Source organism: Homo sapiens, chromosome 6 (assembly GCF_000001405.40).
Source record: "Homo sapiens chromosome 6, GRCh38.p14 Primary Assembly".
Lineage (NCBI taxonomy): Eukaryota > Metazoa > Chordata > Mammalia > Primates > Hominidae > Homo > Homo sapiens.
The window spans coordinates 146,593,505-146,619,110 of NC_000006.12; the positions used below are offsets into that span (position 1 = coordinate 146,593,505).

Sequence of the window (25,606 nt, forward strand, 5' to 3'; positions counted from 1 at the left end):
TCAGTTTTAATAACTGTTTTAATGTCCTCTCTAATAATTCTCTTATTTTTTTCTGAGTTACCTTCAATTAGTTGATATTTTTCTTTTAATGAGACATATTTTTCTTATTCTTTCAGACCTGTTAATTTTTATTGGATATTAGTTATTGAGAATTTTACTTTGTTGGTAAGTAAACAAGGTAAAATTCTTGTTTACTCGGATATTTTTGTATTCCTAAAAAATATTCTTAAGATTTTTTTCTGTGATGCTGTTATTTGGAAATAGTTTGATATTTTCAGATCCTGCTTTTCAGATGTGTTGGTTGAGACTAGTGGAGCATTTCGTCTAGAATGAATTGTTCACTCTCAAGGGCAAAACTCTCTTTGTATTCCAGTCCATACCCTGTGAATTATGAGTTTTTTTCCAATCAGGCAGATGGTAATAGGCACCATTCCCAGCCTACCGTAAGCTCAAAGAAGGTCGCTCCTTCTAAACTTGTTAGGTGGTTTTTTCCCCTGGCCTCAGGGAATTTCCTCACATGAAGGAACAGATAAGCGGTCATGAATACTGAGTCCTCCTCTCTGAAGATCTCTCCTCTGTGCAGTTCTGTCCTCTCCATACTCTGTCTGTGCAACTTCTACTTTCTGGCACTCCATTCTGTGAACGCTGGCTGCCCAGTCTCCCTGGACCTCAGCTCTGTCTCTCCCAATCAGGGCCACCATCAGGCTCTGCCTAGGTTCCCCTTTTCTGTGCCACAACCTAGCAGTAAGATGGGACAATTAAAAGGCTCAGTTTTTTTGGTTTCCATCTCCCAGGTATCACTCTCTTTTATTGTCTGACAGTCAATATCCTCATATATTTTCTTTAGTTTATTAATTATTTCATGAGAGAAGGTAAATTCTCTGTTACTTCATCTTGCTTGGAAGTGGAAGTCTTCCCAAATCCCATTTTAGAGTCTGCTTCCTAGGATCATCCCTATTACTAACACTGTTCCAAGCTAGTTCCCAGGAACCAGGCTCTGGTGCTCTGAGATTTGCATGCATGAGGTTTATTAGTGAGTATTCTCAATAACATCTGTAGGGGAAGCAGGATTGGGGAGAAGGAGAAGTTAAACTGCAACGCAGTTGTAACAGAAGCCTTCATGGGTCATAAGGGAAGTTCTGGAGAGAGAAGCACCTTTCAGAGTTGCCCCATTTATATCCCCTTCTTACATAAACTAGTGGGACACATGTAGCTCTCAGTGCAAGTATACAACAAAGGGTGAGTGTCTCTGTCCAGAAGGGGAAACAGAACCACCCATCTGCTGCACAGATAATTGCAGCATTGTACAAAATAGGTTTGTTTGCATCCTGATGAAGCATTTAGTTACAGTTAGTCATTGCTTCTTCTTGAAGCAGCTTATCAAAATGGAAATTGTTTTTCAACTAATAACTTATTTCCATATCCCCCATTTTTTAAAGAACCTCTATTCAGAATTTCCTTTCACAGGTCATTAAAACTATAAATTCAATTTTTCCCAGAATAACGGGGCTTTCTGTGGCAGGGCCAGCAGGTTTCATATCTGCAGGATCCAACTTCTCCTTAACAGGTGTAGAGACTGAATATTACTGGACACAACTGAATGTCAGTTGTGATTTTTAATACCATTTCCAATGATCTGAAGTAAATATGTTTTGAACTCTGAAGTAGGCAGTGTGTATGTAGCAGAGAGTTTAGGAGCCTGCACTCTGAAACCAAAGTGTTCACCTATGCATTTTGACTCCATTCCCCCTGTGCTTTGGACTTTGGGCAAGTTGCTTTGCCTTTCTAAAGCTCATTTTCTTCGCTATAAAATGGGCAGAGTTTCATACTTCATAGGGTTGTGATCACTGAAGGTGTCAGAGGCAGAATAATGTGGTTATAAAGAGCATGGGTCTAGAGCCATGAGTTTGAATCATGCCTGATCACTTACTAACTTAATTTAGCCACTCTTTGCCTATGTTCCTATTTATAAAAGAGAGATTATAATAGCAAATCCCTAGGGTGTTTGTAAGGATTAAGTGAATTAATACAGAAAAATAGCTTAGAAGAGGGTCAAGCACATAGCAAGTGCTCAACAAATGTAAGCTCTTATTATTAAGGGTTTAGGAGCTTCAAAAGTGTGAATGAATTTGGTAGAAGAGGAGTTTTTGCTTTGAGTGACCCTACAGTCTAGTAAAGGAGAAAAAACAAGGCATAAGTATTAATAAAAACAAGACAGAATATTATAGGAATTTTAAAAGATGAACAAATAAAGTTCTGTGGGAAATAAAGGAGAAGGGTGTAAATTTCCATGGAAATGTGAAAAGAACAGAACTTGAAGTGACAGTTAAATTCAACCTTACACAGAACATGTAGAATGCATACTTTCTCATTTGGCTGGTTAAATTCCAAGTAATTTTATAATTGACCTAATTGCAAAGAGGTAGCTGAGCAGCAAAATATATACAATTCCCTATGGCTGTGGAATCAAGTGTCTGAAGATGGAGTTATGGATTTAAGAAACAGAAATGCTGCCACTCTGCCCACCCCTGCCATCTCCCACCCAGTTCCCTCCATCTAGGATTCCCATTGGTGGAGGGAGAAGTGGTTGCCAATTCTCACTTCCCTATTTAGGCAGATCCTCAAGCAGAGAGACTCCTGCCTGTTTTGTTTCTGCTGATATGGGGAAGTGGGTACCTCTAACCACTTCCCTAGGGAGCAGGCGCTACTGCTGCCTGAAGCCAAATATCTCTTCCCCGAAAAGGAAGTATAGATTAGAGAGAGGCCCTATTCTGGGTAGCTTGAATAAAATATAAGCCCTGTTTCTCAGTCTTTGACAGTTGTTAAATAGCAAGAGTTTGGAAATCCCTAAGCTCAGTCCCAGGGCAATCATCTGTATGGACAGTTAGTCCAGAGAATTGGAGAGAGCACAGGTTATGGAGTGGCCAATCTTCCTCTGCCACCTACCACCTGCTCCATGTCAGGCAAGTCCCATTTCCTGTCTGCATTTCAGTTCTTTACCTGTGGAATAATAACATTAGCTATAATTCTCTGAATGCTTGGGATGAGTCAAGCATATTTGAGGTATTATTCTTCCCTTTCCACAAATAAAGAAAATGGAAGTTAAATAACTCACCCATAATTACCCAACAAGAGTCAGGATTTAAATTCAAGTTTATCTCTAAAGGAGTTAGCACCCTTCCCTAAACCTTGCATGTAGTAGGTACTCAATAAATCACAGCTATTATTATTATTATTCCAAAGTGACATTGACAACAGTTATAAGAAAAATAAAAACAGCAGTAGGACCTATTGTCTTTTTTGCACTGCCACAATAAATATCATGTTAAGCTTTGTAGCTAGAACTATCTTAGAGAGGAACAGATTTGCTCTTATAATTACAGCCTGACCAGAACCTTAGCTCCAGAAAGAAGAGAAATTCCATTTATGCATGTTGCACTCTTAATATAATAAAGGAGAAAGAACACTGGCGTAGGAATTAATAGGCAACTTATACTCGTCACATCTTTTATGATTATCTTATTCCATTCTGGTGACAACCCCCTTACTTTATCCTAATTTAATAGATGTTTAAAAAGCAAGCTCTGAGTGGAGTAGTGATATGTTTGGCTTAAACTGGCAATGCTGACTTTAATGTGTTTAGTCCAAATTCCATCAATAAATAACCCAGCAACTTTTGGCAAGACATTTTGCTTGTCTTCGCCTGGAGTTATTTGTCCATAAAATACCGGTGGGATGTAGATCTTTTGATTTCTAAGGCTTATCTTCCCTAATTCTTTTGGCATCTTGCAGCCATTAACAATGGCTGCAGGATAGCCCTTGTTCAAGAAGAAACTCACCTCTCTGTGGGGTTGGCTGCTTAAAGTTGTGCTGTTTTCAGCCAAGAGTCTTTGTATATACTTATAGCTATAAATTTGATTACTCTGACAAAATTTGGTAGTAAATAATTTTTCTCACCATTTAGTCCTCTACTTTCATTCAAGAGAGTTCTCTGGAAATTTGAATTATGGTATAAACAAAGCAGAATCTTCATGATGTGTTCATTGTCTTTACATATATAGGAGATGTTTGCAGGGCAGTCTTGTAGTCATAATATTAACACTGCTGACTTGGAATTTATTTATTTTGCATATAGAAATACAACGAAGGGGCTGTCTGTCATCTAGGTAACCCCCAGTAGTAATCCAATAGTAATAAGATTGGGATAGTCTGACAAACCATAGGCTATGCTGAGTGGAGAGCCCTGAGCATTCATTTGTCAGAGAAGTTGAAAGATTTTCTCTGCAGGAAGCTGCCTCTTGCCTGCACAGGTGGAACTGTGAGCATGTGCCCAGTCCCATGAGTGGAGGGGATTTCTTTTATTTAAAGATACTTAACTATTTCTAGGCTCATGAAAGACACCAACCAGTAGTAGTGGTCCTAGGCCTAAGGGCTGTGTGTCAGATATCTCTGAAGTGAGGTTATATTGAACCAACACAATATTTTGTTTTGTTTTGATAAATTTGCAAGCTCTTGCAGTCTAAGCATGTCTCAGTTAAGCATAGTATCCACTACTCTGTATTTACCTGGCCAACTTCATTCATTCACGCTGTCTGCTGCTCCTCGAAACCAGGTGGTCTGTCATCTCTGAAAGAGTGGCTCCTATTTGCTGCGCTTTGCATCTTATCCTCAAAACAGAACTGTGAGTTAGGTATAACTCCTATTTATAAGTGAGTAATAGGCATCTCCTATTTATAAGTGAGTAAACTGAGACTCAAAGGGAAAAACTAGCCCAAGGCAAGATAACTAACAAATCACCACTGATGACTGAGCCTTAAGCCTGCGCCCTAATAAGTTTCATTTTACTTGGTTCTGTCTGTGTCATCTGGCCCCTGGACCTTTTCTGGAAAGTCTGCAAAGGACCACCTGAGCCCATGACTTGGACTCACTCTTTCATTCGAACAACAAGACACCTTATTGGTTTTATTACAGATATCATCACCTAGCCCTCAGCGACTCAAGGTGTCATTATTTTGCCTTCCTTACACCCACTGTGTTAATTTCTGGACCCCAGGTTTTCAAGCCATTGACAATTTCAGCGTGTCTGTAATGTCTCCTTAGTAATTATTGAAGGTACTTGTTATATTTAGCCAAGAGAATAACTGGGGTGGTACTAGGATAACATCTACGTTCAAATAGTTGGATATTCAAGAGTCGATATATGTCTATGGTTCCGAAGGGCAAAGCCAGGCAGTGTAGGTCCTGCAGAACTCCAATTAATCAGGGCTGCCCAGTAATCCTAATGCCAAACCCGTGCCCCAGAACCTCGATTTCTCCCCAGACACCAACTCCAAGTTCCTCCACGGGGATGTGGGATTTCAGTTTATGCTCTTGCGTCCCTCTGCAGCCACAGGCCGCAGAGCCCGCCCCCAGGGCCCCGCCCCCGCTCTCCGGGCGCTGGACGCGGGACGCCGTCTCCTGGCAACGCAGACGCGGAGCCGAGCGCGCCCGCAGGCTCTTTGCTCAGAGCTCAGCCCTACATAGATCGGCTTCTGCCATGGCCTCCAAACAAACCAAAAAGAAAGAGGTGCATCGTATCAACTCGGCGCACGGATCGGATAAATCGAAAGAGTAAGGGACCTCTGCCTGTCCGTCCCTCCCCTGGCCTAGCCCCTCGACCTCACCACTAGTTCTGGGGCTGCCTCCCTGCAGCAAACTGTGCCAGGGCAGAAGTTTAGTGGCCTCCTCGCAGCTTGTCTTCTCTGGTAAACCAGATCCTGGAGGTGCTCGCTCTCATCCTTCTCTCTTGCTTGTCTTGACTCACTTCCTTTCCCAGAGCCCCTGATTTTCTTGCTTTGGGTGTTCAGCTCCCATGGGTGAATCTGCCACCCCTCCTCTTCTTCATAGCCCTCTCAGGCAGTTAGAAAGGCCATAGCTTTCCTAAGAAAGAGGCATATCTCAAATACTTCTGGTTAAAGCCACATCTTCATGGCCCCGGAAATGATACAGACAGCGAGTGACAGACAGACATGGACACATTTCACCTTAATGGTGATTTTCTAGTTTGCATCTGCCCAGTCCAACGACTACGATCTTTAATCAGATATAGTCAGACGTAAAGTGGCTTCTAAACCTTAAAACATTATAAATGTATAGTTCATGTTACTAACATTTACTCTGAGAAAGTAAACAGACCCTCGCTCATGGAATTTTTATGGTGCCTTTGTCCTGGGCTGGTGTTAGGTGTTGTGTCTTAGGATGTACTTCCCCATGATTATTATTTTCTGTGGTCTGTTTCCCTAGGGATATCCAGTTATCCACAGCATAGGATTGGGGCTGTTTGAACTTACACCATTTCTAATGTTCATTCCCACTGTGAGAGAATCCCAGCTGCCCGCCCTGCTTCAGTGGGATCATTCATGTTCTTCATGCTCTGCCTGATGGGGAGGGCGATGCAATCAATCATTTCAAATTGAATTCTTACATCCTTGATGCCTGTTTCTCCATTTCCTTCCCTGGCTGAAGAATTCCACATTGGACTGATCCCTATGATTCACTGATCCCTAGGATTTAAACTCTTTTTCTTTGTGAATTCTTCTCCCAGACTCATTCCCATGTCTGTGAATCTCTAGTCCCTTAGTTCTAACCTCTCTCATAAGCAGGTTTCCAGTTACCCGGCAGATAATCCATTCCTTTTACTAGCTTAAATTTTAGATATTACATATATAAGTAATATTACATATATAATTTTATATAAATATTACATATGTAATTTTAATAGGATTGCTTTACTTCTGTGTACCAAAGTCAGGTCTTTTCAGCGTTGTCTAATGGCTTCCATTCCTCTAGGTCCAAGGCCGAGGACGCCCTTCAGAATCAGGCCTGTATTACTTCTCTAAAGTTACCTTCCACTAGCCTTCTCTCCACTCCCTGAGTCATCTCAGGATTGTTCCCACCGCAGGGCCTTTGCACTTGCTGTTTCCCCTATTGGAAAGCTTTTCTGCTCAAATATCCATATGGTTTTCCCTCTCCCTTCCTTCAGGAGTTTACCTAAATGTCATTTTCTCCTGTTAGCTTCTTTGGCCACCTGATTTAAAGTTACAACCTCTACTTCTCTGCCAAAATAAAACAAAACAAAACAAAGCTCCCTGTCTTCCTTCACTGTTTTATTTTTTTATTGACTTTTATTTTTTTGCTCATTTAACATGCTATATATTTCACTTTTTAAAAACTACATTTTTTTTTTTCATTTGTCTTCCCAATAGGGAAGGCAGGGATTTTCCTTTTCTATTTTACATACTGTTGAATTCTTAGTACTTAGATAGTTCCAAGATCATACATAGTAGGCACTCAAAAGTGTTTAGTGAATGAATGAATGACTCTCTTAACTAGGAGATATTAAAGGATTGCAAAAGAATTTTGAGTACACCCCTCCCCCATGCGCACACACACACACACACACACACACACACACACACACACAAATAACTAAGTCACTGATGGTTACAAGTAATGCACATTGAAGGCTCACAACTCTTTAGGAGCTTCGGGAAAATCTTGGACTTTAATGAGTTTATATCCTGAAAGAGATGTGACTGTTAACTCCCATAAAGAAACTTATCAAACCAGACACCATAAAACACATTACTTGCCCTGATCCTTTGATGGTTGTATTACACAATGGAAACTAGATCCCCACTGGTAAGATGCAAACTCTCTTCTTACTAAGACTGTCTATTTCTTTTTGAGATGGTAATAAATGTCTAACATGTTTTTTTTCTAGAAAATATCTGAATTATATCAATAAAAATGTATGCATACATTTATGAAAATAGAAGAGGAAGGGCAAAGAGTTATTTTTAAAAAGCTAAGATTTGTTAGAGACTATTGAGCATCAAACACCAAATCATTAGATTTTTCTGCAACATTAAATAATTGGATGTTAAGTTCATTATAAATCAAGTCTATCCTCTAAGTTTAACTGAAGAACTAATCACAGAACCTAAGCTAACCCATAGATGTAGGACAAAGTGTTACTCAGTATGAGGCGTAGGGATCAAAGTCTAGCAAGGCTCTAGTATGATTGTTATTTAAAATACACCGGGAGATTTAGAGTAAGTTTTTATGTCATTTTACCACACCTTGTGTTTACATATCCAATAAATGCGACCAACTCTAACATGTTCCTGGATATGGAAATAAAAGAAAAAGTCTTCAGAGCCTTGAAAACGGCTATGCAATAGAATCTTACACTCCTAGAGATGCCATCTCTGACATCTCTCTTTTGCCCTAAAATTATGTGTCAGACTGGGAATAAGTGTCATGTTTGGCTTTTGCCTCATATGTCAACTAGCACATAAAAAAAGTCACCATGTGCTTACTAAATGAGCTCATAGTTTTGTTATCCACCTTGGTTTTCATTCCTTCTGAATTTGATCGAAGCCCAATTCTCCTTCTCTTTCCTATTTGATCTGCTATTGGCAAAGTTCAAAAACTGAGATGTTACAACTGATTACGGTAGAATCATCTATGTTCATATTCATAAGTAAATATAACTTTGAATCACCAAGAAAAACTATTCCAGGTAACTAAGCTGTAAGTTTTTACATTAGATTAAACAATTTCTATTTTATCTATTTCCTAGTTCTCTGTATCTGCCAGTATGAAATCACTATTCTAGGGTTCACTCTGGCATCAATTTTTTGACAACGGACAAGTCATTTTCTATTCTGACATTTAGTTTTCACTTCTTTAAAGGGAGGGTCCTTTAATTGAAATTGCTCTTACCCCAGCATGTCCTGTTCTCCCTTCCCTGCTTTATATTTTCCTCCAGTTCTAAACTTCCATGATTCTATCAGATATATTTTTTAACTTCACTGGGTCCATAATAAGTGAGGGGATTTTGTTACAGTAAAATGTTTAAAACCATGGTTTAACTGATTGTTCTGTTATCATCTTTTAACATAACAATTTTTAACGTAAGATAACTTTAACATAACATCACAACTGTCACAGATTATAACTCATTGCCAGTATCTTAGTTTGAGCTGCTGTAACAGAATACCATAGATTGGATAGGTTAAACAACAAACATTTGTTTCTCACAGTTCTGGAGGCTAGAAGTCAACAAGCAGGGTGCCAGCATGGTCAGGTTCGGGGAAGGCTGTCTACGTCAAGGGTCCCCACCCGCTGGGGCTGCGGACCAGTACCAGTCCATGGCCTGTAAGGACCTGGGCTGTGCAGCAGGAGGTGAGAGGCAGGGGAGTCAACATTTCCCCCTGAGCTCCTCATCCTGTCAGATTAGCAGAGGCGTTAAATTCTCATAGGAGCGCAAATCCTATTGTAAACTGTGCATACAAGGGATCTAGGTTGTGTGATCTTTACAAGAATCTAATGCATCCCCCTCTCCATCCATGGAAAAATTGTCTTCCACAAAACTGGTCCCTGGTGCCAAAAAGGTTGGGGATGGCTGCTCTACTTAATTCACAGACATCTGTCTTTTTGTATCCTCACATGCTAGAGAGAGAAGGCTAGTTAGTTCTGTTACTTTTCTTATGAGGACAATAATCCCATCATGAGGTCCCACCCTCATAACCTAATTACCTCCCAAGGGCCCCATGTCCTAATACCATTCCATTGAGAATTAAAATTTTAAGATGTGTATTTTGGGAGAGGAGACACAGATATGCAATCTGTAATATAAACTAATAACAATTAGCAATTATAAACAAATTAAATTAATTGATCAATCTAATTGATTTGAAAACTAATAAGTGCTACAAAGATTCATTCACCAATTAGATGCCGCTGGAGGGATTTGTAGTGATATCAAGACAAAAATTTGATCTTCTTGGAAGTACTAAATATAATTCTTTGTGTATATCATAGACAAGATAACAGAGACAAAAGAAGTCGTGCAGTTTAAGTATTGACAGTATTAATGCATACACTTTATACACTAAAATACTTGGAACCTTAATGGGAAGCTTGAGATAGGGACACAATTTGATGTTTATACTTATAAAATTTTTTTCACTTCCAAAAGGACATTCAAACCAAGATTGAAAAACAGGTAATCTGTTAAACTAACAGGAACCATATAGCCTTGTAGATTTGTAATTATAAAATAATATTAAGCCTTTCAAAAACAGAATGAAATATATTTCATAATTTTCAAGTTAATCTAACTTTTGACTAAAATGAACATCTAAATTTTATAGAATTTTCAAAAATGATCAACATGTCTCTCTATATGAAATTTGAAAATGATACTATTACAAAAGCTGAATTCAAGATTTAATACAATGAAAACAACATAAAATAGAGGAACAAATATCTTGCTGTGTATTAGATTAAGTGAATTCTTTCTTGGTTGTCTGAGGCCCAAGAGAGAGATGATCCAATGAAACTATGCAATAGAGGTTGGTAAGTAATATGTTTCTCTACCTGCAGCGTTCAGAAAAGAAACCTCCCCAGAGTCTGCAGTACACATTAGGGAGGTGCTCTCTGTAACCCCAGGTCCAGTTCACATAGCTCACACCAGAAGGCAGAGCTAAGAAGGTGAAACTGTCAACAACCCAAGGATCAGCTGAGTCTTGTGATTTCCCCAGGTGACCTGTGTGGAGCTCAACAACTATAGTCAATTAACAAATTTAAAAGGTCGGTTGGAGCAAGCATCCCCCAAAGTTCTACAATGTGGCCGAGGACTTTGATTGTACATTGTTCTTTTTTTAATAGTCATTCCAAATATCATGAGATGCATTGTTACAGGAAGTCCCTTGCCCTCCTAAAAGCCACCCCACTTGTCTCTAAGGAGAATGGCCCAGTCCTCTCCCAAGTCCACGCAGGGGAAGTGATAGCATTGCTTTCGTGTAAATTATGTAATGCAAAATTTTTTAAATCTTCGCCGTAATACTTTTGTATTTTGTTTTATTTTGAATGATCAGCCTTTGTGGCCCCCCTTTGTTTCCCCCAACTTGAGATGTATGAAGGCTTTTGGTCTCCCTGGGAGTGGGTGGAGGCAGCCAGGGCTTACCTGTACACTGACTTTAGGCCAGATGAATAAAAGTGCACCTTAAAAATGACAAAAAAAAAAAGATCAACTTCAGTGAAAGAAACTTTCCCAGAGGATAGCTTATTCTTTATGCTTATTTCCCAATTATTTATTGAGAATTGCCCATGCTGAAGTCACTGGTAGGCCCCAGATAATAAGGAATTCTGAAACATGATGCTTTCTGTCAAGGGATTTACACTCTGGGGCCAGGGAAGGGAGGATTCATATAGAAGTAACTAGGAAATATAGAGTAATGCCACACTTGACAGGAGAAACTTGTTGGAAGTCATAGAAGGAATCATGCGTTGGTGTGGGGGTAGAGTAGAGGAATCATGAGACTCCTAAAATGAGGGCTGTAGGAGTTAGAGGAGAGGAAGAACACTTCCAACTGGGGCTGGTTTTTCATTGCTTCTGTCTAATAGCCACTCTTCAATTTCAAAAGGCACAGGTTAGTGGGGCGGTTAGTGCAGGCAACAGGAATGTGGGGACAGGTCATCCAAGTTGAATCATAAAGCATCTAAGATGAGTATCCAGCAGAATGACAGGGATAGATTAAGGAATTCAAACTATATGTAGTGGGGAAATACAAATGGTTTCAAATATCAAAATGGTGATTTATGATGTATAATTTGACAATTGCATGGAATTTATGCTGGATTAGGAATCAAGGTAGCAAGAAATAGTGATGGTCTGAGATAATGGGAGAATGCGTGATTCTTGGTCCTCCTGATGATAGTGAGGAACATATTAAAAGCGATGTGAGTGTGCACTGTGCACAGCAGATCTGTAAGGTGATTGTGGTTAAAGACTATACAAGCCACATTTCCAGCCTCCAGTTGCAGTTTTAATATATGATGATGATGTCCAGACCAGGATGCCATCCTGTCTGAAAAAGAAAATAAAGAATGTGTAAATAAGATTCAGTGACAGATTTCTGAATGCCTCGCCTTATTTATTTTGCATTCTCTCCAGGGCCTGAATATATATTTTATATTATATATTTCATAAATGCATGTGTAATTTAATTGAGTTGAACAGCAAACTCAGTGCAGGAGCTAAACCATAAACTCCCTGACTCAGAACCAGACAGAAACTAGGACAGCCCAGAGGGAAAAGGCCCTGTCATAGTCATCTGCAGCACCCGGGACAACACTTGGCACAGATTTGGACATTTTATGAATGTCAGTTGTATGTTTTTAAGTGTAAAAAACGTAGCAAAATTCCATGTTTAATGAGGATACCCCTTTATTTTTCATAGAGCCTTTAGTTCTCCCTTTGAAATAGTCTCAATCTGAGCACTTGGTTGATTCTATGCCTTTGCTATTGTGAATAGTGCTACAATGAATATACACATGCATGTGTCTTTATGGTAGAATGACTTATATTCCTTTGGGTATATACCCAGGAAAGGGATTTCTGGGTCAAATGGTGGTCCTGTTTTAAGTTCTTTGAGAAATCTCCAAATTGCTTTCTTGGAAATGGCTGAACCAATTTACATACCCACCACCAATGTATAAGCATCCTCTTTTCTCTAAACCTCACCTGCATCTGTTATTTTTTGACTTTTTATAATATCCATTCTTAATGGTGTGAGATGGTATTTCACTGTGGTTTTGATTGGTATTTCTCTAATGATTAGTGATGTTAAATATTTTTTCATATGCTTGTTGGCTGTCTGTTTATGTCCTTTGCCCATTTTAAGTGGGGTTGCATGTTTTTTGCTTGTTGATTTAAGTTCCTTATAGATTCTAGATATTAAACTATTGTCAGATGCATAGTTTGCAAATATTTTCTTCAATTCTGTAGGGTGTTCATTTACTTTGTTGATAGTTTCTTTTACTGTGGAGAAGCTCTTTAGTTTAATTAATTCCCACTAGTCAATTTTTGATTTTGTTGCAATTGCTTTTGGAGCCTTCATCATAAAATATTTTCCAGGGCCTATGTCCAGAATGGTATCTCCTAGGTTTTCTTCTAGGGTGTTTTTTCAAATAGTTTTACATTTTCCACTTAAGTCTTTAATCCACTTCAGTTGCTTTACGTATATAGTGAAAGGAAGGGGTCCAGTTTCAATCTCCTATAGATGGCTGGCCAGTTATCCCAGTACCATTTATTGAACAGAAAGTCCTTTCCACATTGCTTGTTATTGTTGACTTTGTCGAAGATCAGATGGTTGTAGGTAGGTAGCTTTATTTCCATGTTCTGTAACCTGTTCCATTGGCCTGTGTGTCTGTTTTTGTATCAGTATCATGCTGCTTCGGTCACTGTAGCCTTGTAGTATAGTCTGAAGTTGGCAAACATGATGCCTCCAGCTTTGTTCTTTTTGCATAGGATCGTCTTGGCTATTTGGGCTCTTTTTCCGTTCCATATGAATTTTATGACTTTTTTTCCAATTCTGTGTAAAACGACATTGGTATTGATAGGAATAGCATTACATCTCTAAATTGCTTTGGGCAGCATGGTCATTTTAACAATGTTGATTTTTCCTATTCATGAGCATGGAGTGTTTTTCCATTTATTTGTGTCATCTCTGATTTCTTTAAGCAATGTTTTGTAATCCTTGATGTAAAGTTCTGTCATCTCCTTGGTTAGCTATATACTTAGGTATTCTATTCTTTTGTGGCTACTGTGAATGGGATTGCATTTTTAATTTGGATCTCAGCTTAGACGTTTTTGGCATGTGGAAATGCTACTGATTTTTGTACATTGGCTTTGTATCCTGAAAGTTTGATGAAGTTATCAGGTTTAAGAGCCATTGGGCTGAGGCTTTAGAGTTTACTATGTATAGACTCATATAGTCTACAAAGAGAGATAGTTTGACTTCCTCTATTCCTATTTGTATGCCTTTTATTTATTTTTCTTGCCTGATTGCTCTGGCTAGGACTTCCAGAGTGATTTGGAATAGGAGTGGTGAGAGTAGGCATCCTTTTCATGTTCTGGTTCTCAAGGGGAATGCTTCCAACTTTTGCCCATTCAGTATAACGCTGGCTGTAGTTTTTCATAAATGGCTCTTATTATTTTGATGTATGTTCCTTAAATGCCTAGTTTGTTCAGTTTTTAATGTGAAGGTGTAACAGATTTTATCAAAAGCCTTTGTTTAGTATATTGAGATGATCATGTGGTTTTTGTTTTCAGTTCTGCTTATGTGATGAATAATGTTTATTGATTTGCTTTTGTTGAACCAACCTTGCATCCCATGAATAATGCCTACTTTATTGTGGTAAATTAGCTTTTTGATGTGCTGCTGGATTTGGTTTGTTAGTATTTTGTTGAGGATTTTAGCCTCTGTGTCCATCAAGTGCATTGTCCTGAAGGTTTTGTTTTGGGATTTTTTACATTGTGTCTCTACCAGGATTTGGTATCAGAATGATGCTGGCCTCATAGAATGAGATAGGGAGGAGTCCCTCCCCTCGATGTGTTGGAATCGTTTCAGTAGGATTGGTACCAGCTCTTTGTATGTCTGGTAGAATTCTGCAGTGAATCCATCTGGTCCAGAGTTTTTTCTGGTTGGTAGGTTTTTTTATTACTGATTCAATTTTGGAACATGTCATCGGTCTTTTCAGGATTTCAGTTTCTTCCTGGTTCAAACTTGGTAGGTTGTATGTTTCCAGGAATTTATCCATTTCTTCTAGGATTTTTAGTTTGTTTGCATAGAGCTGTTTGTAATAGTCTCTGAGGTTTTGTGGTTTTTTTTTGTATTTCTGCAGAGCCAGCGGTAGTGTGTTTTATTATTATTATTATTAATGTAGCTAACAGTCTAACAGTCTTATTTATTTTTTCTGAAAAAAGAACTTTTGGTTTTGTTGATCTCTTGTATGGTTTTTTGTGTTTCCATTTGTTTCAGCACATCTCTAACTTTGGTTATTTCTTCCCCCTTCTAGCTTTGTGGTTGGTTTGCTATTGTTTTTCTGGTTCCTCTTGTTGTGATGTTAGATTGCTAATGTGAGAAGCGTCTAACTTTTTGATGTGGGCATTTAGCAATATAAAATTCCCTTTTAACACTGCTTTAGCAGTGTCCCAGAGAGTCTTATATGTTGTACCTTTGTTTTCATTAGTTTCAAAGAATTTCTTGGTTTCTGCCTTAATTTCATTGCTTACACAAAAGTCATTTCAGGAGCATGTTGTTTAATTTCCACTTCATTATATGACTTTTAGAGATCTTGGTTTTGAATACTCCTTATAACACTGTGGTCCAAGAGTGATTGGTATGATTTCAAAATTTTTTCAATTTGTTGAGAATTGCTTTGTTGTCAAAGACATGGTTGATTTTACCGTATGTGCCATGTGAAAATGGGGAGAATGTATTTTCTGTTTTTATTGGGAGAAGTGTTCTGTAGATGTCTGTCAGGTCCATTCGGTCATGTGTTGAGTTTAGATGCTGAATATCTTTTTAAATTTTCTGCTTTGATGATCTGTCTAATATTGTCATCGGGGTGTTAAGGTCTCCCAGTATTATTGTGTGGTTATCTAAGTCTCTTCATAGTTCTCTAGGAACTTGTTCAATGAATCTGGGTTCCCCAGTTTTGGATGCATATATATATTTAGGATAGTTAAGTCTTCTTTTTGAACTGAACCCTTTATCGTTATTTAATGTTTTTTGTCCCTTTCGATCGTTGTTGGCTTAAAGTCTGTTTTGTCTGAAATAAGAATAGCAACTTTTGCTCTTTTCAGTTTTCTATTTGCTTGATAGATCTTTCTCCATCCCTTTACTTTGAGCATATGGTTGTCATTGCATGTGATATGGGTCTCCTGAAGATAGCATGAGACTATCTTGAGTCTTGCTTCTTTGTCCAACTTACCACTCTGTGCCTTTTAAGTGGGGTGTTTAGCCCATATACATTCAGGGTTAACAATGTGTGGATTTGATTCTGTCATCAGGTTGTTAGTTGGTTGTTACGTAGACTTGTCTGTGTAGTTAATTTATAGTATCAATGGTAGACCTTATTGTGTAGTTTCTTTATAGTGTCAATTCCATAGTTGATTTATAGTGTCAATGTAGGTGATTTATAGTGTCAATATACTTCAGTGTCTTTTTGTGGTGGCCAGCAACAGTCTTTCATTTCCATATTTAGCACTCCCTTAAGGACCTCTTTTAAAGGAGGTCTGGTGGTAATGAATTCCCTTAGCATATGCTTGTTTGCAAAGGATTTTATTTCTACTTCAGTTATGAAGCTTAGTTTGGCTGGATATGAAATTCTTCGTTGGAATTCCTTTACTTTAAGGATCTTGAATATAGGCCTCCAATTTCTTCTGGTTATAGGGTTTCTCCTGAAAGATCTGCTGTTAGACTGATGGGATTCCCTTTTGGCAGTGAATCTATCTGGGCCAGAGCCTTTTCTGGTTGGTAGATTTTTTATTATTTAGGGGTAGGTGACCTGCCCCTTCTCTCTAGCTGCCTTTAATATTTCTTTCATTTGCATTAACCTTGGAGAATTTGGTGACTATATAACTTGGGGATGGTCATCTTGTGTAGTATCTCTCAGGGGTTCTCTGAATTTCCTGAATTTGAATGTCAACCTCTCTATTGAGATCGGGGAAATTTTCATGGACAATGTCCTCAAACTCTGAGATCATTTCTTTATCCTTGTCTATTCTGCTGTTAATATTACTAATTGTGTTATAAAATTCTTGTAGTGAATTTTTCAGCTCTATCAGATGAGTTTGGTTTTTCCTTAAAATGGCTATTTCATTTTTCAGCTCTCGAATCATTTTACTGGATTCCTTAAATTTGTTGGATTGGTTTTCAACTTTGTCCTGAATCTCCGCAATCTATGTTACCATCCAGATGCTGAATTCTATGTCTGTCATTTCAGTCATTTGAGTCTGGTTGGGAACCATTGCTGGGGAGCTAGTATGGTCATTTGGAGGTAAGAAGACACTTTGGCTTTTATAATTGCTACAGTTCCTGTGCTGGTTCTTTCTCATCTGTGTGGGCTACTATTCCTTTAATCATTGAAGTTGTTGTCATTGGGATGGGGCATTTTTCTTTTATATTCTTTGAAGCCCTTGAGGGTTTGAGCATAGTATAAGTTGAATTTAGTCAACTGGCTTCATTTCTGGATGATTTCAGGGGGACATGGCTAAGCTCAGCACTCCTGAGCTGTATGCTCTAACCCTGGGTGGCTGGGACCAGGCCTGTGATTTTGTTCTCTGGTTCCTTGAGGTTAAGCACCTTCTGCATTGGAGGGGCCAAGATATTCCCAGTCAGCTGGCAACAACACTCCAATGGGGGGTGGTTCACAGTAAAAGCATTTCATTGTGGTGGTGTCACAGTGAGGTCTGCTCATAAATGTGCACTGGTGGTAAGTTGTCAGGGTCCACATGCACGTGCCCATGCTGCTGGTTGCAGGGTGGCAGGATCCATTCACACATGCACGCTGGCATGGACAGGCCAGTGGTGGGGTGATGGGGTCTGCATGTGTGCTCATGCAGTGCTGGCAGTAGGGTGGCAGTGTGGAAAGGTCCACTACACCCACATATACAAGCACATTGGTATGGCAGTCAAGGGAGGCTGCAGGTGAGTGCATGCAGGCCGAGTTGTGTTGCGGGGTTGTGGGCAGGCACATGCTGGTGGGGGCCCATCTGTAGAAGCTCTCTGATGGTTAGACAGGGTCTTTTGGTGAATGAGCTATGGAAGTGGTCACTAGGAAGCACCCCAGTTGAGCATCTGAGGCTGTGCTGCAAGCAGGTGAGGCCGGGCAGGGACTTTTGGAAAGACTGGTAGACAGGGAGGTGCTCAGATTAGATTGTTCCCATTCCATGGGTAACATAACCTTGTTCTGTTCAGGTTCAGCTGTCAACAAAGGCCAAAACCACCTAGAGGAGCATGGGAAGCCTTGAGGGCTGGGCTCCACTGCAGCCATTCCTGTGCCAAATTTTCTGCGCTCCTGACAGGCTGAAGTCCTGTCCTTGCTGCCTCTCTAAGAAGCTCTCCATGCCAGCTCAAATGTCTTTGGGCATCGTGAGGTCTCCTGCAGCTGGGATTCTGAAAGTTCATGGCAAGAGTGGACCACTCCATGCCTATTTATCTCACTGCTTCCCCCAGTAGCTGCTCAGGGCCAGAAACGAGTCCTGGTGTTCGGCAACCCTATGTAGGGTCCCCGGCTTCCACCTCCTTCAGTCCAGAATCTGTGTCCTCCCCCCATCTCCTCTCAGCGCCCTCCTTCTGAAGATCAAATAATATGCCTGTCTTCTTGATGGCCTGGTCTCTTGGGCAAACCTTTTCCTGATGCATCTAGTCAGCCATCTTGGGAATTGTTTTTAAAAGGGATTAGTTTGAGCCTGTACATGTACTAGCCTTTGGGTTCTGCAGATCTATTTTTTTTTATGGATTTTGGTTAAAGTCTTTATGGATACCATTTCATGTATTTGCATACTTCTTATAAATATTAGCTTTGCTGCTGAAAGGTGGCATATCCTGGGAAATGGCAAAAGCTTAAGATCTTAGTGGCCAGCATTACTTTGTTTGAGACCAGAGTAGCAGAAGCAGTCTGTGTCCCAGACTGCTCTCCTGGGTCGTTGTCTCTCATAAGGATTCAGGTGCCTTCAGGGAAACATAAGGCACTGCAGCCCAATCTGGCCTCTTTTACCTTTTCCTGGAGTTTTCCTCTCTTTCCCATCTGCCTCCTGCTTTGTTTTCTGTCCTTTACCTATGAAATCAAGCCATTCTCTGATGGTCTTAGTTTCTCTTCTTTCCCTTTTGATTGAAACAATTATTCTTTATTTAAGATTACTAAATTAACATCTCTGAACCTTATCATGTGATTAAGCTCATGTTCAAGTGGACAAATATATCTGGATGTGCTCCTCTACTCCAAATTAGATCAGTCTAAATGGGAGTCATCCTTTTCTCTCCCAGCTGTATACACACTTCCCATGTTGCTCATTTTAGGGAATGTTACTTCTATCTTCCCTGTAATCTTAACTCCAGAGATCAGTCATCTATGACCTCTCCCTCTCTTTTGTGCATCACATTCACGTGGTTTCTTTGTTCTTTCAGTTGTTCACCTTGGCTCCACATTCATTTTCTTCCCTGCCGTCCTCTAGTTGAGGCCCTTTTAAACTCTAGGTAGAACCACTTGAGAAAACATTCTCATTCCCTTTTCTTTAGTCAAGGTTTTTCTTATCCAAATTACTTTATACGTAGTGCTGTCAGTAAGCTTTGTCATCTACCATTTTGCTGGTAGAATGGTCCTGCTCTTTTTAAAAAAAGAAGAATGAAAGAAGGGAGACAGGGAGAGAGGGAGAGAGAGAAAAAGAGAGAGAATGCTCTCAGCAATCAGCTCTGCAACCAGCTTCAGCCCCTACCTACTCTCTACATCAACTAAATGCTACCATACTATTTACCATTATTCCACTTTTCTACTTCTAACCCTCTTCCCATTTCCTTTTCTATGTTTATAGTAACTTTTTACACTTACTTCCATCCATATCTATGAAGCCATAAAACCAACATTTACTTTCCAAGTTGAAAACAATTTTTCTCTCTCTTCCGTGCTAATAAAGTACTTTGTTTTAAACTTTGTTATAAGCCCCTTCATTTGTGCCTTTGCATTTTAGTTATTGCATTATTTATTCTCATTCATTTTAAGTTATTTGAGAATAGAAACTGAATCTTTGCATTTACTCAAGCACGATGTATTGAAAAAGAAATAAATGATGAACTTTTAAAGTTAAAAGGCCATTTAAATAATTTTTGTAAAACCAAGTGAATCAAACGTAACACAGCATGACTTTAACTATTTTAATTTAAAAAATATTTTAAGATTTTCAATTTGTTTTCCTACATGTTTGATTTTCTGAAGAGTAAAACTCAGAATGCCCTGACCCAAAATAATTCAATTGTGTAATTCTATTCATATTCTGATTCCGTGAGGGTATTAGCTGACACTACTTAAGAAAGCATGCTGGCTGCACATTGCATGAGTAAATTTCCTCCCTCTGTGAATAAAATCATGTCCTTACACTGAACAGCATGCCTTAAGAAAATAATGGCAAAATTTCAGACTCTAATGTTATTGTAATTTTAACATCCCTGTAGTAAACTTACTTCCATGAAATAATCTAATTAAAGCAAATATATGAGTGCATCAGTATGTTTATATGTGCATATAAGCAAGATTCAGCGGTGTTTCTATTGCTTCAAAGTCTGTAGTGGCTTTATACCTTTGCACCAGCTAATGTTTTCCTTAAAGATTTTTACCTCTTGTGCATTCTTTATTGTATTAAATAAACTTTTCAATTGACTTCAGAGTTTCTAAGAAAATCATTTTGTCTTCTTTGCAAAGTATGAAATTAAGTGCTTTTAAGTTTTAAATAATTAATTTATTCATATTTTATTAATAGCAGGTTTATAAATAATATTTTAATAAAATTATAGACTAATTTTATTATGTATAAAGACAATTTTCACCTTTCGCAACTCCAGATTATGTAGGATATTTGATATGCCAAGAATAGATATATATATAAAAATATGTAGACAAAACAAACTTTATTGCATATGACTAGGTAATCAACAGTATAATAGAGTGTCGATTTAAATTTAACTGTGTATGAAAAGTTTAGTAACAGATATTACCGCTATCATGAAGTGATGTTTGTAATTTCCTGAAGTTCCCTTTTATCCCCAAACTTGTTTTCTCTCCCTCCCTCCCTCCCTCCCTCCCTTCCTCCCTTCCTTCCTCCCTTCCTTCCTTCCTTCCTTCCTTCCTTCAACAGTTTTTTTGATATAACATTGATATACAATGCATTGCACATATTTAAAGGATGCACTTTGATAAGTTCTGATGTGCATCTGTACACATGAAACCTTCACCACTATCAAAAAATAAACAGATCTATCATTTTAAAAAGTTTACTTCTGCCCTTAGTAATCCTTTCATCCTGTCCTTTCCTGTTATCAGTCCCCAGCAACCACCCTTCTGTTTTCTGTCACTTTATTAGTTTGTATTTTCCAGAATTTTATATAAACGGAATCAAACCCATGTACACATTTTGTGTGGCTTCTTGTAATCATAATTATTTATTTCATTTTATTTTTATTAATACATAACTGTACATATTTATAGGGTAATGTGATATTTTGATAAATGCATACAATGTGTAATAATCAAGTCAAGGTAATTAGGATATCCATCTGAATTAGGCCATTGTTGCATTGCTGTAAAAGAATACTCGAGGCTGGGTAATTTATAAGGAAATGAGGTTGAATTGGCTCACAGTTCTGCAGAATGTACAGGAAGCATGGTACCAACATCTGCTCAACTTCTGATGGGGCCTTTGGGAAGCTTATAATCATGGCAGAATGTGACAGAGAGCCAGCATGTCACATGGCAAGAACAGGAGCAAGAGAGTAAATGGGGAGATCTCAGATTCTTTTTTTTGAGACAGAGTCTCGCTCTGTCGCCCAGGCTGGAGTGCAGTGGCACGATCTCGGCTCCCTGCAGGCTTCGCCTCCCGGGTTCACGCCATTGTCTTGCCTCAGCCTCCCGAGTAGCTGGGACTACAGGCGCCCACCACCACGCCCGGCTAATTTTTTTTTTTTTGTATTTTTAGTAGAGACGGGGTTTCACGTGTTAGCCAGGATGGTCTCGATCTCCTGACCTCGTGATCCCCCTGCCTTGGCCTCCCAAATTGCTGGGATTACAGGCGTGAGCCACCACACCAGCCAATCTCAGACTCTTTTAAACAACCAGAACTCACGTGACCTGAGTAAGAATTCACTCATCACCAAGAGGATTGTGCTAAGCCATTCATGAGGGATCCACCCCCACAGTCAAATCACTTCCCACCAGGCCCCATCCTTATCACTGGGAATCACATTTCAACATGAGATTTGGAGGGGACAGACATCCAAACCATATCACCAACACCTCAAACATTTATTGTATCTTTGTGTTGAGAACACTCCAAATTTTCTCTTTCTGCTATTTTGATATATACAATAAATTATTGTTAAATATAGTCACTCTACTGTGCTATCAAACACTAAAACTTACTCCTTCTATCTAACTGTGTTTTTGTACCCATTAACTAATATCTCTTTGCTCTCCTTAATTCTTAACCTTCCCAGCCTTTGGTAACCATCATTCTACTCTCTACCTTCATCAGATCAACTTTTTTAGCTCCCACCTATAAGTGAGAACATGGAATATTTATCTTTCTGTGCGTGACTTGTTTCACTTTATATAATGTCCTCCAGTTTCATCCTTGTTGCTGCAGATTACAGGATTTCATTTTTATGGCTAAATAGGACATTTTCTTTATCCATTCATCTGTTGATGGACATGTAAGTTGATTCCATATCTTGGCTACTGTGAATAGTGCTGTAATAAATATGGAAGTGCATATATCTTTTTGATATACTGACTTCATTTCCTTTGGATATATATCCATTAGTGAGATTGCTATATCATATGGTAGCTCTATTTTTGTTTATTTGAGGAAACTCCTTACTGTTTTTCATAGTAGCTGTACTAGTTTACATTCCCACCAGCAGTGTACTAGCATTCCTCTTTCTCAGCATTATTGCCAGCATTTGTTATTTTTTGTCTTTTTGATAACAGTCATTTTTAACTGAGGGTGTAATGGTGTCTTCTTGTGGTTTTGATTTGCATATCCCTGATGATTAATGATGTTGAATATTTTGTATATGCCTGTTGGCCATTTGTATGTCTTCTTTTGAAAAATGTCTATTGAGATAATTTGCCTATTTTTTAATTGTATTATTTGGGTTTTTTTTTTTTTGCTATTGAGTTGTTTAAGTTTTCTATATATTCTAGTTATTAATGGATACTAAAGTAGATGGTTTGTGAATATTTTTGCCCCTTCTGTAGGTTGTCTGTTTACTCTGTTAATGTTTTCTTGTACTGTGCAGCAGCTTTTTATCTTGATATAATCCCATTTGTCTATTTTTGTTTGTGCTGCCTGTGCTTTGGAAGTCTTATTTTAAAAATATATATATTTGCTCAAACCAATGACCTTAAGCATTTTCCCAGTGTTTTTTCTAGTAGTTTTGTAGTTTCAATTCTTACATTTAAATGTTTAATCCGTTTTGACTTGATCTTTGCATATGGTGAAAGGTGGGGGTCTAGTTTCATTTTTATGCATGTGAATATCCAATTTCCCCAGTACCATTTATTAAAAAGACTGTTCTTTCCCTCAATGTATGTTTTTGGTGCCTTTGTCAAAAATGAGTTGGCTGTAAATGTGTGGAATTATTTCTGGGTCCTCTATTCTGCTTCATTGGTTTATGTGTCTGGTTTTGTTGTTGTTGTTGTTTTGCCAGTACCATGCTTCTTTGGTTATTATACTTTTGTAATCTATTTTGAAGTCAAGTAGTGTGATGCCTCGAGCTTTGTCCTTTTCATTGAGGATTGCTTTGGTTATTCTGTGTTGTTTGGGGCTCCATACAAATTTTAGAATAGTTTTTTCCATTTCTCTGAAGAATGGCATTGGTATTTTGGAAGGGATTGCATTGAGTCTGTAGATCACTGCGCCTAGTATAGATATTTTAACAATAATAATTCTTCCAATTTATGAGAATGAGATTTTTTTTCATCTTTTTGTGTCCTTTTCAATGTTATTTATCAGTGTTTTTTAGTTTTCTTTGTAGAGATCATTCACTTCTTTTGTTGCATTTATTTATAGGTATTTTATTGTCTTTTAGCTATTATAAATGAGATTGCTTTCTTGATTTCTTTTTCAATTGTTCACAGTTGGTGTATGAAAATGCTACCTATTTTTGTATGTTGATTTGTGTGCTGCAACTTTCCTGAATTCATTTTTCAGTTCTGTAATTTGGTGGAGTCTTTAGGTTTCTCTAAACATAAGATCATGTCACCTGGGAGCAAGTATAATTGGCTTCTTTCTTTCCAATTTGGATGCCCTTTCTTTCTTTCTCTTGCCTAATTGGTTTGGCTAGGACTTCCCATACAATGTTGAATGAAAGCGGTAAAAGTGGGCATCATTGTCTTGTTCCAGATATTAGAGGAAAGGCTTTCAATTTTTTTTTCCTATTTAGTATGATGCTAGCTGTGGGTTTGTTATATGTGACCTTCATTGTTTTCAGGTATATTCCTTCTATGCGCAATTTATGTAGAGTTTTTATCATGACGGGTTATTAAATTTTATCAAATGCATTTTCAATTATCTATTGAAATAATCATATGGTTTTTCTTCTTGATTCCATTGATGCTATGCGTCTCTTATTGATTTGCATATGTTGAACCATCCAAGCATCCCTGGGCTGAATCCCACTTTATCACAGTATATGATTTTTTAAATGTGCTGTTGAATTCGGTTTGCCAGGACAGTTGTTCTTTGAACAACATGGGGCTTAGAGCACCAACCCCTGCACAGTAGAAATTTGTGTATAACTTTTGAATCCCCAAAACCTTAAATACTAGTAGCTTACTGCTGAGTGAAAGCCTTACCAATAACATAAAAGCTTGATTAACACATATTTTGTGTGTCATATGTATATGTTATATATACTGCATTCTTATAATAAAGTAACCTAGAGATAGGAAAATGTTATTTAGAAAATCATAAAGAAGAGAAAAATATATTTACTGTTTATTAAATGAAATTGGATTATCATAAAGGTCTCCATCATAACACCAATTTGTTGGTTTACAGTTGTTCATAACAGTCTCTAATTATCCTTTGTATTTTTGTAGTTATAATGTTTCCTTTGTTGTCTCAGATTTTATTTATTTGAGTCTTACGGTTTTTTTTTTCTTAGTCAAGCTAAAAGTTTCTCTATTTGTTTTATCTTTTCAAAAAATGAACTTTTTATTTTGTGGATTTTTTGTATATTTTTATTCGTCAGAAATAGCTCTGATATTTATTATTTCTTTTCTTCCACTAATGTTGTGTTTGGTTTGTTCTTGCCTTTCTAGTTCCTTGAAGTGCATTATTAAGTTATTTGGTCTTTCTACTTTTTTGATGAAAGTGTTTATTCATGTAAACTTTCACCTTAGAACTGCTTTTGTCATATCCTGCAGTTCTTGTGTTTCCATGTTTATTTGTCTCAATAAATTTTTAAATTTCCTTTTTAATTTCTTCAGTTACACATTTGTTGATCAGGTGCATGTTGTTTAATCACCATGAATTTTTACAGTTTCCAGCATTCCTTTTGCTTTCATTTTGTTTTATTCCATTATAGTCAGAAAAGATACTTGATATGATTTTGATTTTTTAAAATTTGATAAAACTTCTTTTGTGACCTAACATATGGTCTGTCCTGGAGAATGTTTCATGTGCTGTTGAGAAAATGTGTTTTCTGCAGCAGAGGGATGAAATGTTATGTAAATGTCTGTTAGGGCTCTTTCATCTGGAGTGCAGTGTAACTCCAATGTTTCTTTGTTGATTTTCTGTCTAGATCATCTGTCCAATGCTGAAATCCTCTATTGGATTGAAATCCTCTATTACTCTTGTATTGCTGTCCATTTCTCCCTCTATGTCTATTAATATTTGCTTTACATATCTGAGTTCTCCAGTATTAGGTGCATATATTTTTACAATTGCTACATCCTCTTGCTGTATTTACCCCTTTATCATTATGTAATAACC

At 38.0% G+C, this 25,606-nt stretch overlaps 1 protein-coding gene and 1 long non-coding RNA gene across 2 annotated transcripts in view, besides 1 other annotated feature; one reads left to right on the top strand and one right to left on the bottom strand.

The window, feature by feature from the left end:
• Nucleotides 1–1,011: 1,011 nt before the first annotated feature.
• On the bottom strand, nt 1,012–5,427 carry ADGB-DT (ADGB divergent transcript). Its single transcript, NR_125860.1, has 3 exons — nt 5,329–5,427; nt 4,566–4,667; nt 1,012–3,000 (listed from the first exon to the last, which is right to left on the bottom strand). It is a non-coding gene; the product is annotated as an ADGB divergent transcript (long non-coding RNA).
• Nucleotides 5,269–5,563: a silencer, noted in NCBI's record as "tiled region #4102; HepG2 Repressive DNase unmatched - State 4:PromP". NCBI's record gives its function as "represses a minimal TATA promoter and a strong SV40 promoter by Sharpr-MPRA in HepG2 cells {active_cell/tissue: HepG2}" and the evidence as "EXISTENCE:reporter gene assay evidence [ECO:0000049][PMID:27701403]".
• ADGB (androglobin) overlaps nt 5,468–25,606 on the top strand; it is a 216,491-nt gene continuing 196,352 nt past the window's right edge. Inside the window, exon 1 of the mRNA NM_024694.4 lies at nt 5,468–5,610. Coding sequence (NP_078970.3) covers nt 5,537–5,610 — 74 coding nt within the window. The 5' untranslated portion in view covers nt 5,468–5,536. The remainder of the gene's footprint in view (nt 5,611–25,606) is intronic.